General features: G+C 36.2%; 1 annotated feature.

Annotated features, from left to right (window-relative positions):
- Positions 384–493: an enhancer, noted in NCBI's record as "active region_6084". NCBI's record gives its function as "activates an Ori minimal core promoter by ATAC-STARR-seq in GM12878 lymphoblastoid cells {active_cell/tissue: GM12878}" and the evidence as "EXISTENCE:reporter gene assay evidence [ECO:0000049][PMID:35858748]".

Below are 16243 nucleotides of genomic sequence, written 5' to 3'. Positions count from 1 at the left end.
TAATACAGTATTACAAATATACTAAAGTCTAATCTATATTTGTTGAAATATAGTTCACCTTTGTATATCAGTACCAGCGTTAATATTTGATTCTCTTTACATATGAAGGAAAGAAATTACATAAAATCAAAATAACTGGACGATCACACTGTTTAACCCTTCTTTAGCATATTTATTACATCAGCAAATATTCTAAATCAAGGCTTACCGCCAATCCTGTGCTACACTCATGATTACTTTCTTTTACTCATTCTACACCATTTATTCTTTCTTAAACACCAGCATGTGACAGAAATCTTTGTTCTCTGCAGTGGGAAAAACCCGAGTTCTAGTCTCAGATCCACTGTTTACTAACTGACCTGAAACAAGTAGCTTGATGACTCAACCTTTCCTTCTTTAAAATAGAAGCGACAACAGCTCCCGTGTAAAGATGCTCTATCAACAGAAACATTATTTCCTTTAACCCATATATGTGACTCTTCTTTAATCTTCTTAGTCAAATGTTGATTCCAAATTTATTGTGAAAAATACTCAGATACTGATGGTTAGTATAAAAATGGGTATAGAACTTATGCCTCTGGACGATATCTTAGTTTTATATTTCATCTTTAAAAACATAAATATCAGGCCAGAAACCGTGGCTCGTGCCTGAAATCCCAGCACTTTGGGAGACGGAAGTGGGAGGATCGCTGGAGGCTAGGAGTCCAAAACCAGCCTGGGCAACATAGCGAGCCACTGTCCTCACAAAAAATAAATTAGCTGGGTGTAGTGGGTGAACACCTGAAGCTGCAATGAGCTGTGATTGCACCACTGCACTTTAGCCTCAGGAAGCCCCCCACCACCACACACACACACACACACACACACACACACACATCCTAAAACTTATACCTGGAGTCCTAAAACTTGGAGTGATTCTATTGATATACATGAATTGACAGCAATGTAACTCAAAATTAAATCATACCGATGTAACTTCAGATTTTATTCACTGGCATGTATTACCATACCCATGGAAGATCTGACTCATCATCTCTTATTTGCAAATTACTTCAGCTATGTGGGAACAATTTACAACCAATCATGCTACATATTAAAATTTCACAATACCCTGTCATCTGTCCCTGTCATCAAGAAGACCACTTCCTTCATACTAACTTCTGTTTTGTATTTTAAAACTGAGTACACAGTCTTCCAACACATTAAGAATAGAGCCTCTTAAAACAATTTGCTTTTAGATAATAATATAGTGAAAGAGGTTCAATGTGTAGAATATTATTTCCTCTTAATTGATGTCCTCAATGTTTTAATAGGTTTGACTAAACAGTTATTATCAAAGCTTCAACCCTGTCTTTGTCAAAATTCTTTCATTATTAATGTACTCCTTACAGTAATATCCTGTAGGGCCTTACAAACAAATTGTTGGAAAACTCCTAATTAAGAGCACGCTCCTAATCATAATGAAGGCCTGTGTCTAAAAGAGGCAAAAACAGGGTCTGAGAAGGGGGTTTTATCCATTCATATCTGAAGACTGGAAGTCATAAGTGTATTAACCTGGACTCTGGGATTGCAGACAAAAATCCAAGCTGACTAGTTTAAGCACAAGAGTAAACAGTAGGTGGAGTCTCATCCCTTCTGGTGTAACCCTACCACTGTGATCAAGATCATGTGCTATGGATTCTTCTTTTGGTTCCATTATCTTCTTTTGGCTGTGAAATCTTTGGCAAGTAAATCAAGCTTTCCTTCCTTGGCATCTCTAAAATGGGGACAGTATAAAAACCATCTCATGGAACTGTGTTAGGAGGATTACATGATTTAATACATGCAAAGCACTTAAAAATCGTCTAGCACATAATAAATGTTCAATAAATTGTATTAAAAGAACAAAGGTGAACCTGATTTTAAGAGAGAACCTGAAATGAAAGGACAAATGCCATCAGGACCCTCTTACTGTGTTTTCTACCTACATCTAAATCTTTCCCAGCTTCAGACAAACAGCTTAGCAACAATCTGTAGGAGTCCTTTTTCCTCAGATCAATTTAAAATATTTAAAAAAAATAGAACTCCTATTGGCCCATTTTAGATCCTGTGCCAATTCCCAGACTAGCTATTTTGGCTGTAGGTGGGGTTCTATGATTAGCATGGCCCAACATTCCAGTTTATACCTGTAGTTTCAGCATAATGACTAATAATGCACCCTCCCAGTCTCTAAAGTTTGCCTGTTTCCATAACATTACCTATTTAGCATTCTTGCCAAAATGTTTAATCTGGAGCTAATTATAAGAAAGAAATTAGAAAAACCCAGATTGTGGGACGTTCTGGATTAATATCATCATCATGGATTCTTGAAAAATGTCAGTTGCATAAATGATATTGAAAAGGAGATTTAAAAAGAATACAAAACATAATAACTGAATGAAATACATAATCCTGGGAAGTGGAGGAACACCTACAAAGAATGTTTGGGGAATAGCTGGGTGTGATGGCAATACTGGGCTTATGAAGAAGAATATTCTTTGTGTCTGTGAGATAATACACGCTGCAGTATTTAAGGAAAAAGTGTAATAATGTCTGCACCTTGCTTTCAGATGAATTGGAAAAAAGGACATATCGATAGAGAAAGAGCTATAGAACAAATGTCACAAAACGTTAACAGTTGTAGAATCTAGGTAATTCAGCATATTGTATTTATTGTATTATTCTTTTGATACTTCTGGTATACTTGAAATTTTTCAAAATAAAAAGTTGAGGAAAAAATGACCCCATTTGGATAATAAATTGTAACCCTGTCTATGACTAGACTAGCTCAAGTTTGTTGTCTACCCTTGAACAATTACCAATTATTGCCTGGCAGGGAAGCAAAGTCATAGAATAATATGACTAATCCCTTTCACAACATATGTTTAAAATACAGGGAATAAAAACACATTCCCAAAGAATTTGAAACTGGGGAAAAATCACTGCACATCAGGCAGTGACCAATTTATGTACTGTAACATGCAAATTATATATAATCCAAATGCTCTTGTCCTTCTTTTCCATTTATGAGAAAGAATAAGCTGAACTATTATCCTTTTAGCAAAGGAAATACCTCCTTCTCAATTGCTTCCCTGAAACTGCCAGTTACTTCCAAGTGCCTAACAGAAAAATTTCACTAGGGGAGGCTTAGGAATTCTTTCAATTACGGTCGTAAAATCTGAGTTCCACCCAACCTGAAAACTCTGGGCAGTTATCTCTTATTGCTGCTATTTCTATAGAGCCTCCTCTTCCAACCAAAGCATATCAGGACCTGCAAACTTTCCTGTCACAAAGCTTTTTTTTTTTTCCTGCCCCTCCCCCCACCCCTCCTCGAGACAGAGTCGCTGTGTTGCCCAGGCTGGAGGCCAGGCTGGTCTTGAACTCCTGACCTCAGGTGATCCGCCAGCCTCGGCCTCCCAAAGTGCTGGGATTACAGACGTGAGCCACCATGCCCAGCCTTTTTTTTTTTTTTCTTAACATTCAATAAATATTTAAACAATGCCTACTATTCTTCATTTTATAATTTTGCAAGGTATTTCAGAAGTAAGGCCGTCAACAGAAATCCAAGCTTGAATCTCCAATCTTGCATTTCTAAAGTGTCACTTTGGAAAAGTTACTTTACATATCTGAGCCTCAGCTGCACCATCTGTAAAATGAGAATAATCACTTTAATAATTTAAAATGATTTAATAATCATTTTAATAATCGCCTGCTTTTCAGGGTTGTTTTAAGTATTGGAAAGAAATACGGTAAAATATGTAATGGTTGTTTCTGTTTCTAAAATATGTAATGGGAATAATGATAATGACAACACACCTCCTGCCCTTAAGGAGCTCACTGTCTAGTATAGCCTGTCTCTTCTCACTCATGTTTGCTACTTACCCCAACTGTTAGAATTTGTGTCCAAAGCAAGTCAGTGTTCCTCTGTGTAGGCAAGTACAACATAAATATACAGGTTTTTGATGTCTGAGGCAATCTAATTGCACAGCATCCTTTTCTTATTTGCTTTTTGCTTTGTTTTTTAAACACACCCCAATCAAAATGTATTACAGTGCATCAAGTTCTTAAACAGGCATTTCAGATCTTTCTATGTAAAATATACTTTCTCTTTGCACAAAGATAAATATTATTCTATTAAATTAATTTAGATTTTTTTTTCCAGCACTGGATATATCTACATGTTTTTGAGAATAAGTAAGACCTTGCTACACTTGCTACAGAGTAATACATCACCAGTAAAACAGAAAACACCAGCTGGTGTATTATCTGGTGAAAATCCATTTTTTCCCAGATTATAGTCTTTGTTAGCAGTAAATGTGAAATAGATAGAAAGAATGTAGTTAAGTTATCTGATAGGAGGTTTGGATTCACAAAATCTGAAGAAAATTATTTTGGTTAGGAAATTTTTAAAAACCTCAATATCAGTGCATGAAACAATATGCAGTGACTAAAAGTCTCTAATTTTTGTTCTGCATTGAATATGGGGATTTCAAATACAGATTGGGAACTAGTCAAGGTTGAAGAACACAATTTATTCATCTGTATACCACAAATATTCTAATACAGAGGTAAAGTTGGATAAACTAGATGACCACTAAATAAAAGGAAAAGTGCTGTAGGATGTCAGAGGATAGAACCAAGAATAGCTCCAGGAAAGAGAGGCTCTTCATATGTCCTTTGGAAGATGGGTAGAATTTTTAGAGTGGAAAAGGGGAAGAAAAGGGCATTCCACATGGAGATAATGGTGCAAACAATGAAAAATGCAGAACTTTTTCCAGGAACAGAAAGTAGGAGAGTCTGGCAAGTATTTATGGTAGGTGAAGAATAATAATAAAAAATTAAAAGCTGAAAACATAGATGGGACTGTCACTGCCATGCTAAAGATTTTGGATTCTATTCCAAGGCCTTCAAATATTTTGCTCAAATATACCTCAAAGAATTTTGAAAAAGCTGTATACTTCCTTGTACAATTTTGTCTTTACAATGATGTTATATTTTATATCATAAATAGTTTAAATACTTGCAAGAATATAATTTCCAGGAACATTATAAATGCTGACTTAAAAAAATGCTTGCTACAGCATTCTTTTAATGTATCCATTGGAATTCAAAATCATTTATTTGAAAAATATATGCTCATGTTCTGTTAGAAATTCTACAGTTTGTTTTTCTTTCTTGAACTCCTGTTTTCATTCCCTTTCTTCCATAGAATTTTATCCTAAAATTCCCCAGTCTTTTTTCAATCACACTTTTTTACTTCTCTGAAACAAAAATATGTTTGAGATGTAAAGGAAATTTATTTCCTGTTACCAAAAATGTTCTACAGTAAATTATCATTACAATGATTATCAGAACACAATTGGTTAAAACATAAATATTTGACAAATTTTGATAAATCATTATTAAATATAAAAGTAAAAATATTATTAGAAATGTATTCCTCAATAAGATAGATGTGCCTTTTTATTCATTTTGTTTGCACATGTCTTTATTGGCACTTGATTTATAATCTGACTAGTTATATAGTCTCATTTAAACATCATTTTCCCTCATTATTTTAAAGGCACTGCACCATTGTCTGCCTTTTTTTTTAGATTAAGCCTTTTTAAAAAACTTATTTCACGTATAAGTGGATGAATATTATTTATCACAAAAAGTAGATTCAGCATCAATTCTATGCCTTAGTTTTTGCTTTTATAGATGTTTATAAGCATCATATAAATAAGTATATGAGAGTGAAATGAGTTCTATTATAGAAATATCATGTAATTCTCTGGACCTTTGGGTTATATGGCAGAAATCACAATGATCTATCATAAAAAATTATTTGGAACTATCATCTAACAATTCAATTAGATTCACCTTAATTTTATTCACAGCAAGGGATGAGATACTATCTTATCAACAAGAGGATGTTATTAGAGTCCAAGCTGCCACTTTTTTAACACCAGAAATTCTGCAACCTGGGCTAATGCACAGGATTCAGGATGAGTAGGCTAGGCATTTCTTTTGTCAGGTCGGAGACGGGCAATTGTATAAGAAATCACTGGAAAGGAAAACTCACAAATTGCATCCCATCTTCACAGCAGGCAGGTCAATTTGAAAAAAATTGACAATTTGGATACTAATAATCATAAAATTATCTATGCCTAAGTATCTCTTGAGAAGTCTTTGTAAGCCTCCCGCAACACGTGTACCCCAGTCAGGATACTGCTGCAATAGGGGACAGCTGACAGGTTTTGAGCAAGGAAGTAATACGATAATAACTATGCTTTGGAAATATTAAGCTAGAAGCAATATACATATTGGATTGAAAGGGGAAACTGTTCAAAGCAGGGAGATAAGTGGAGACCTTATTACAATAGATCAGGAAGTATTAATATTAAGGAGCATGTGAACTAAAATATTAACTTTGAAATAGAAAGGAGCAGAAGACATTATAGAATAAGAATCAAAATGGTTTAGTAACCATCAATTCTAGTGCTACCCTTTGGGGTCATAAATCATTGAATATGCTTGTGACCCCTCTCTGCCCTTTAAATATGTGAAAATTACTTTATATTTCTCCTAAACATTTTCTCATCTATGAGCTAAATATGCCCAGTTCCTTTCACTGTACTTCATATGACAGAGATATTAACTCATCTTCTTGGTCTCTTTCTTGCCCACGAATGGCTTACCCAAGTGTGACTCCCCCAAAAGAATACAACCTTATACATGTCATATCTGCCAGTGGAGAATACAGCGGGAAACTCACCTTCCCTCTTCTGGATGCCACAACTAAATGCAGTGGAGACAGAGGGAGCAAAAGGTCAAATAATATGAATATCCTATTAGTAAAAATAATCCAAGAAAATGGCATGACTTCACTGCACTGTTGCCTTCCATTTACATATACCTTTCATACTCTAAAGTTTCCATCTTACAAAAAAGCAGAAATGTTAAGTATCCTTAAGACATTCACCATTTGAATTGCCAGTTTCCAATTCTCAACAATCTTACCCAGAAATCAAAATCTTTTTTTTTTTTTTTTTTTTTTTTTTTTGAGACGGAGTCTCGCTCTGTCGCCCAGGCTGGAGTGCAGTGGTGCGATCTGCAAGCTCCTCCTCCCAGGTTCACACCATTCTCCTGCCTCAGCCTCCCGAGTAGCAGGGACTACAAACGCCCGCCACCACGCCCGGCTAATTTTTTGTATTTTTAGTAGAGACAGGGTTTCACCGTGTTAGCCAGGATGGTCTCTATCTCCTGACCTCGTGATCCGCCCGCCTCGGCCTCCCAAAGTGCTGGGATTACAGGTGTGAGCCACTGCGCCTGGCCCAGAAATCAAAATCTTAAATTATGACATAAGAAACACTAATGCTTTAAGAAAGTCAGCTCAATTTTGTTATCTAAATAATCTGAAGCAAAAACATTTCAATACTTGCACAATCCATTCATTTACTTAAACTCTGAAATGCTAATGAACATCATGTGAGATAAGATAGTGTTCCCCTCTCTCTGGGAAAAGTTCAAGCAAAGAAGACAAAAGGAAAGATTATCCCCAAAATAGAAAACAAAACAATGTTTTAGATCCAGACAAGTGTTTATACCTTGATATGCTATTTGCAATATTTCAAAGAAAAAATAAGTTTGACCAAAAAGAAAACAAAACTTTCATTTTTTCTGTCCTTTTTTATTATTAGCAAATCACTGAAGCGGAAGTCATATTTTCTAAATTCCTAGAAGAGAGGAATCTTTATTTAGAGCAGAAGTAGTGAAGTGTTAAAGGCTCTTGCACAAGTCTTAAATACAATGAACCCCAAACCACGGGTTTAGTTTCTCTCATGGCAAAATGAAATGCTCAAAATCTTAGGAGTCCAGGGATGACTGGCAGAAGCAGTGGAAAGTTCAAACATAAAGTCTGGAAGAATGAGATTACAGTTTCTAACATTTTAAATGTTTTCATTTCTCAAAAGAACCAAATTTTCATATGGTTTAAACTGACCTTTCTTTATGATCTTAAATAGGTCCCTTAATTGTCCACAACTAAACTTTCTCCATTCAAACCTTCTAGATACCCAAAAGACACTGAAAACAGATTTGATACACAGTTTTTTAGTTCCTTGGAGGCAGACAAAACTTGTAATCAGGATATTGCTATTGACCTTACTCCTGCTATGTATTTTAAACAATTCCTGTAAAGGAATTTGTGAAGAATAGGAGTAAAGTCCTACACAGTTTAAAAAAAAAAAGTTTTTAGAGGAATTAGGCCCAATTCTTATTGCCAGCCAAGTTTAATGGCTAATAAAATTACAGAGCTCAGCTTTCATCTGCTGATTCATCATCTTCCTCTTATCTTAATAATTGTTGATAAAGAATGTGCACTTTTAAGTTTAGAGGGTAAAGTGGAAGAGGAAAAATATGGCTACCACGACATTAACGTCTGCAGCCAAATAAACATTATAAATATTTAGTGGTGTTACAAAAGACTGTGAGAACATTTTAACAAGTATTTCCATGAGCAAGCCTACTGGGATGCTGGAAATATTCTTTATCTTGATCTGAAAGGTGGTTGCATGGACGTATACACGTATACAGATTAGCCAGTTACATTTTAGGCACTTCACTCTACGTAAGTTATATCTCAATAAGGAAGGGGAACATATCTACAAGTTGATCTTGTCTCAGTGACTCTAAAATTCACTTTTTGTTTGTTTTGCTTTGTTTGGAGTTAAGCCCTTCAGAGCACATAGGTCCTCCGTGGGTTTTATGCACCAATGACATTTATGCTAAAACTCTAAAACACTCTTGAATGTCCCTTTCAAGAGTGTTTTAGACATCCCTTCCAGTCTCAACAAAGTTCAGAAAACAGAAGCCAACGCTTGACTTACAAATGGACAGAATAGTCACCTTTGTTGTGACTTGTGTTATACCAAATGATTACTGTGCTCAAAAGTCCTTTCAACCAACCTGACAGAACCTAGAAATTTCCACCCTTAGTCAAACCTTTGGGTAAACAGCCTGAAGTATTTTGTTAAAATGCCAATTTTTTTCAGTTTTCCAAAGTCACCTAAAAGAGATTTAAAGGAAGAGAACATTGGGCAAGTGTTTATTGGTGTGTTATAAAACACACTTCATGAAGGGTATAGTCCAAAGGCCATACCAGAACGTTGTTTAAACATTCGCAGAGAAGAGTAACGTGGTAGGGTGGGAGGGAGGAGAGAGAAGCAAAATTCAATTTTTTCCTGCCAATACATGGAGAGATTATTCAAATACTAGCAATGCCACCAGCCCATCCCCTCATCACCAGGGATACCTGCTGGAATTCTGAGTGTGGAAGGCATAGAGAAGGGCAAGAGGAAGGGGGAAAAATAGTTTCTAAAAATTTTTCAGGCCTACTGAAGAAGAAACCACACTGGAATAATGAGCCAGGAAACCCAGCTTCAGTCCCAACTCTGTCACTACCTGGCTGTGCAGTTATCACTTAATTTCTCCCCTTTGCCATTTTTTCATCTATAAAAGGAAGAGGTGGAACAAAATGATATATAAGCCCAAGGATTCCAAGTGCTCCCGGTCTTGCTGAATTATAATATCTCCTACTGTGTCCTGTTGGGTTCTATAATTTTTCAGTAAGAAGAGAAATGTTTCCACTTGGAATAGGAGGTTCTCGTTGTTTATTTTCATGTCTACCGTAGCAACATTCAAACATGCTGGGATCACAGAAATGTCTGGCTCTCTCCCCAGTGTGCTCTTGCTGGCATGTTTTCCAAAGAAGCAGACTTAAAACAATGAAATACAAAATCAGGGGAACTTTCTACATCTCCCCCAAGATTTGGAATTGGCCTATGTTAGTATTTTTACCAGTGGTACCATTTTTCTTCAAGTTTTTTGTATTGGAATTCAAAGGCGAATATTTCCAGGTGATATTCATTGAATTTTACCAAAAGTGTGTGCTCTTTACACTTAAAATTATGAGCATTATACTATTTCAGAGGGTAAATCTGTGAACAGAGTTAAAACCGCACAGTTAGCAAAAACCCAAGGGTTTTCAGTACGAGTTCTTTTCTGTACATTTCAAAGCAAGTCCTCCAAAAAATGCTATTCTTAACGGGTTAGAATGCAGCTTGCAACATGAGAAAGACCTCAAGGAGTTTGACATATATTCTGTCAATGACGATAACATCCAATGACAGAGGATGCAAAGTGTTGCAGACCTGTGGATGTGAAAGTCCTGTCACGTTATCTAGGACCATACACTATCAAAATTACTCAGACACACAACAAATGCATGGAAAAATAAAAATTCGGCATTGCTCCTGTTCAGAAAACAAATTTCAGAGATAGGATCAGGACCTTAGGGACTGTGGCATCCATCAAATGATGGACAAAGCATGGTTCTATTTTATTTGCTAAGCACTGCCCAGGCGGGCTGGTGTCCATCCACTTCTGCCCTCAGAAACACCTGCCCTACCCCTGGACTGGAGTTGAAAGAGGTGGGCAAGAAGGGGCACAAGAAAGTTGGTTTAAAATAAAAATTTTGGCTAAAGATGTGGGATCCAGAGGTAACCGGAAAGAACCCTCAGTTGTCTTTATTCTGACACTGGCACCATAAATATACTCCATGAAATTCTACCAATGCTATCAGAAAAACAAAAGAGGCAATGGTATGTTTAAGTTGGTAGTAAGGTCTGTTTAATATTTTGTTTACCAATTTCATTTGTGTTTTCACAATGAAAATGCAAAACTAAATTTTACTACCCAGCATGTTTGCTAAAAATAAATGCATAGTTTAATAATAAGCTTATTTTCAACTGCATACTGTTCTCTTTTCTGTAAATCCAGTCCTAAGCAACCCTGATTTTAAATTGAAAGGGAAGTTCACTCTCCTTTTTGTGTAATTTCTAAAAATAGTTTGCTTAGCTAAATATGTAGGTCCTGCAGAATTGGCTAGATTTATGAAACATTCTTTAATAAACCAAACAATGACTATATAAAAAGCAGATGCAATACCTTTGTAATTCAATTTTATAGTTTAAAAATATTCTACATGGAAGTGCCAAATTCTGCCCTACAGAGACACAGGGCTCCCACTGACGTCAATGAGAGCCAGGCACCCACAAAGGAGGGCAAAACTATGCCCTGAGCACTTAAATTTAGTAATCCATTAGGCGCGGTGAGGAAGAAAAAGATCAGCTCAAATACCTCTCATCAGCATTTAAATTTGCCAGTGTTAAATGCTCTTGGAAGCATGTTTAAACCTACAGAGCTTATAGATGTAGGAAGAAACACAGGAGCAGAAGGATTTTTTCACATAATAATTTAATTGGAATTTTATGTACACTTCTATTCCCAAGGATAAGTATGCCTTTATTCCTTCTCAGACATTTTTTTTTAACCATTTCAGATGACTGAAGAGTCTGATTTCCTAAAATAAAAGGTAGAACTTGTGGTTGTATACACAAGGAAAAGTGTCTTTCCTTAAATGAGTAAAAAGAGGATTTATACATAACTAATGACTACTTCTGAGGTAAGCCAGCACTCCTGTATTCACTTGAATTAGAAAAGGGAAAGATAATGGGAAAAGAGAAATGTTACAAGTTGCAAAATCGAGTGATATTTCCAGGGAAGCCACTTACTTCCTGTAGAACTTTAGTGCCGCAACTTACAGTGAGCTATTATCTTAACTGTACATTGTTGAAATAAAGTGAGGATGCAGTACCACACTTTAAATGTAAAAGCACTTTAAAGAATTAAATGTATCCTAGAAAAATGAAGTAGTAGTAGCAGAAACATCATCTGGATATAGTCTTGAAATTCAAAGACTCTACTATTAATGACATTATCTTGCCAGATTCTGTCATTAATGGAATTTTCCACAAGAGAGTTAATTCCCTGACTGCTCTGTAAATTTTAAAAATCTTTGAGTCACACCAGCTGAGTTTAGTTTTAAAGCATGACAAGAGGTAGACAATCTTTTCCTCAACTATATCTTCCCTCTTTCTAGTCTCTTCCCTTTTTACTTCTTGCTGCCAGAATAATCTTACTAAAACAATGTGCTTCTCAGTGAAAATACTTTTACTGCCTCTCCAATTAACCACAGAGCAAGTCTGAATGCCGTAAGCTAAGAACCAAGGTTCTCTTTAATTTGGACCCCACTCTCCAGTAGCCAATCTGCACTATTCATAGTCCTCCTATAAAGGCCTCCATACTCACCCTTCCTGTGCCTTTGCCACTTTGCTCTGTCTGCCAACAACCACATCTCTAGAGGTCACCGTTTAGATTTATTTCAAAGTCAGATTCACAAATCACCTTCTCTACAATGTCTCCCACAATCTCTTGCTCCCAGCTAGAAGTACATTATTCCTCAACTGAACTCCGCCATAGCAGTTACCTTGTACTTCCCTTACTGCATGAATGACTTTCCTTTCAGTTTTAATTACTAATGTGTGATTTATTTTTCTTATTAGCCTATACACCCCTTATAGGCAAGTTGTATATTTAATTCATACTTTTTTAATCATAAAATACCTAGACTAATAATTTACTAGCATTACAAGAGTCAAAGATATTTGCCAGCAATGAAAAGGATTGGTATACAATGTTATAATTATTGTTGGGAAAACAATCATTATAACCCAAGTCAAAATAGAGTAAAATGCTGGCTCCATCTCAAGAGTGGTCAGAGAGCCAAGGAGGACTATAAAATGTTCTGGCGCAAGTGGCTTCTAGTCTGGCAACAGCTTGCAGTGAGAATTTCCTCCCTGGGATCATGACTTTAAATGTGAAAACATCATTTGTTATATTATTACTGGTGAAAGATAAAGAGAGAGGTAGCTGAGGAGACATCTGTGCTATCACCACCTAATCCTCACAACTCATCTGAATGCTGCTCTCACTGACTTGAGAAGCACGGTAGTTTTATAAAAGACAGACTCACAATAATGCATACGAGGAAAGTTCTTCTTCTTTTCCCTGACACAAGCAAGTCCATGACACAGTATTCTATCTCTTGTTTCTGTCCCCTAGGGGACTGAGAATCAGAGACCTTGGGCACAAAACCAGGTAAAAGACAAGAAATATGATGCCTTGGTCAGATGGCTGCTAATTAGTTTAAAGGAAACAGTTTTCAGAGGAAGTAATCAATTGAGATGCCATTGGAGATCCCTTAACCATTTCCAGCCCAGTGGAACCTGATCAGCTGATTCACCTGTCACACTTATGGAGCATGCAAATACTGAGACTACCTTTTCAGGGTTTCTGGTTTAGTGAAAGAGTCCTAGAGATTGAGCATTTGTACTTTTAAAAAGCACTCAGGACACTCTTTTGCATCAACTGGAGATAAAGATTCAAGTTGAGTTTAAAAGCTATTTTCCTTTTAAATTCCAGTACCCTCATGTAGTAAAACTAGATCATTGTGTCAACAACATAAAATGTCCAATCATGGCTACTATGTTCACCAAAGTAAGGCAATCAGAATAAACAGTGGATATATACAAGATAAAAATATTTTATTGAGTGTATTATTGATTAATCAGTTATACTCGCAGGCAGAATTTGCAAGGAGGGGGCATGTATATAAAAGCTAAGGAAAGTTTGCTAACCTAAAAACAAAACTACTTTTACTTTTTTTTTTTTTTTTTTTTTGAGACAGAGTCTCTCTCTGTCACCCAGGCTGGAGTGCAGTGGCACGATCTCAGCTCACTGCAACTTCCGGGTTCAAATGATTCTCCTGCCTCAGTCTGCCGAGTAGCTGCGACTACAGGCTCATGCCCCCATGCTCGGCTAATTTTTTGTAATTTTTAGTGGAGACAGGGGTTTCACCATATTAGCCAGGATGGTCTCGATCTCATGACCTCATGATCTGCCCGCCTTGGCCTCCCAAAGTCCTGGGATTACAGCATGAGCCACCGCACCCAGCCTCTTTTATATTTTGTAAGAGAATCACCTCTCTGGCCGTAATACAATAGAATTTCATTAATACAATCAATACTTTTGTTTTGAAACGACACTGTGTTAAGTAGGTAAAGTACGACATACATATTTATCAGATCACTTAGGATATTCCATGCAGCACACAGCTGCCTAATTCATTTCTCTCTGCTCCATTTTCCAAATTTGCATAAGTAAAAAGGCATATGTAAGGCTTATTTTTTCCCGCAAATTCTACTGTTTTCTCTCTCCTCCTCTTCTCCAATTATTTCTTTCTTTGCCTTTACTATTAGAAGCAACAACTGAGTCTCATCATTTAGATGTTGTTGCTAGAAGAAGCCACTGTGAATTATACATTTGAATCTAATCTAATCTATCTATAATGCCTGAGCCTTACAAAACTTGGCTGCAAATAGCATTCTCTCAAAAGGTATTTAGTCCTTCCTGCTGCATGTTTTCTGTCTGTTGTATTACTTAAAAATGAAGCAATGGAAGATAAGATGGTGCAAGTTATTCATAATGTAGAAACTTGCAAGAAGCTATGCTTCAGGTTTGTTCATTATCATGTTGCTATTTGGAACAATTTTCTCTTTTCTTCTTTCAATCAGATCAAAATTTTGTCACAGCTCTGGTTAGATTTTCCATATGTAAGACTTTTCCCTTTTCCCAATCATCATCAACATTGCTGTATTTCCTAACTCAACATGTCTTAAAGTTTACTTAAAAGGAAATTATTCTCCATTTAGCTATATTAGATAGGGACCAGAGTGATTCTACAGTAAAAGTAAGCAAAAAGCAATAGTTATAAAAACAGAGAGAAAAGTTAGCCTTGCTTAACAAATTTCTTCTCACTCAGTCTAAGTAAAGGTTATTGTAATATTATAGGATAGAGGGTGTATAAGCCAAAGAAAAGTAAGAACAAAAGGAAAAGCAAAGAAAGTATCACCCAGGAGACACCAAATCAAACAGGCAATTCTAAACCATTCCAATATCAAGTTGAGCCTCTCAGCAATTTCTAGCTCATGTGATAGCATTTTAAATATGCTGCCCATGGCTTAGTACAAAGTCAAACACTACTTGGAACTCATCAAGTCAACTCCAAAAGTTCTGATGCCACAAAAATCCTTCTTCAATTCTTTCTCTGATTACTATCTCTTCCTGCCTTGAGGTCAAAAATGACAAAGCAGAAAAGGGTCACATAGGTGGGGAAAATAAGGCACAGTGATCTCATATGTAGAAAATGAGGCAAGAAAGGAAAATCATCTCCTTAAATAAGCTTGTGCACCAACTAAAAATGACCAGTGTGGGAGGCCTATAGACCAGGTATATTTTACACACACACACAAATTTTATCTTCGTCTACTAGGTGAACTTGACCTATACCTGGTTTTAACTTGCTCACATAGGCTTGAACAATAAAAACACAAAAGTCAACTCCAAGAATGCTAATGATTTTGCATTTACCTTTGTCTCAATACTTCCTCCTAAAATGGTCTAGAAAACATATATGCACATACATGTAACTGTACATGCCTAAAGCAGGGTATCTTTTAGCTGGAAATATTTAACAAATATTTCGGTGAAAAAGAAAAAGAAAAAGGGAAAGTAGGAATAATGTCATCTTATCAAATGTAATGGGTTTTTTGGTGGGGAGGAGGTTGTTTTTTGTTTGTTTTCTTAGAGACAAGGTCTTGCTTTGTCACCTAGGCTGAAGTGCAGTGACACAATTATAGTTCACTGCAGCCTTCAACTCCTGGTCTCAAGTGATCCTCCCACCTCAGCCTCCCAAGTAGCTGGGACTACAGGCATGTGCCACCATGCCTTGATGATTTTTTAAAATTTTTTGTGGAGACGGGGGTCTCACTATTATTGTCCATGCTGGTCTTGAACTCCTGGGCCAAAGTGATCCTTCCACTTCAGCCTTTCAAAACAATGCAATATTAAAAATTGGTTATATTATTAATAATTATATAACACTTTTTCTATTATTAATAATCATATAATAAATATGTTTCCATTAGACATAGGCACTATGGTTACACATATGTGTTTCAGTCTATGTCTATGTGTGTCTCTGTGTACACACCGTTTGTCCCAGTATGGCTTATCAGCCCTTTTTTTATGAGTGCAATGTTGAACATTTCTGCCCAAATGGAGTCTTATTTAGTAGGCAAACGTTCTAAAATACAAATCTCCTTATGTGATTTCCCCACTCCTAATACCCAGAGGAAAGAATCCAAACATTCTTCTCTGACTATATCCCATCATTTCTTTTTCTATTTCATAGCAACCTATTAGAAATAGAGCTACAATTACT

Source organism: Homo sapiens, chromosome 12 (genome assembly GCF_000001405.40).
Source record: "Homo sapiens chromosome 12, GRCh38.p14 Primary Assembly".
NCBI lineage: Eukaryota > Metazoa > Chordata > Mammalia > Primates > Hominidae > Homo > Homo sapiens.
Note: the sequence above shows the minus strand (reverse complement) of the source record. Positions and strands in the feature narration are given on the sequence as shown.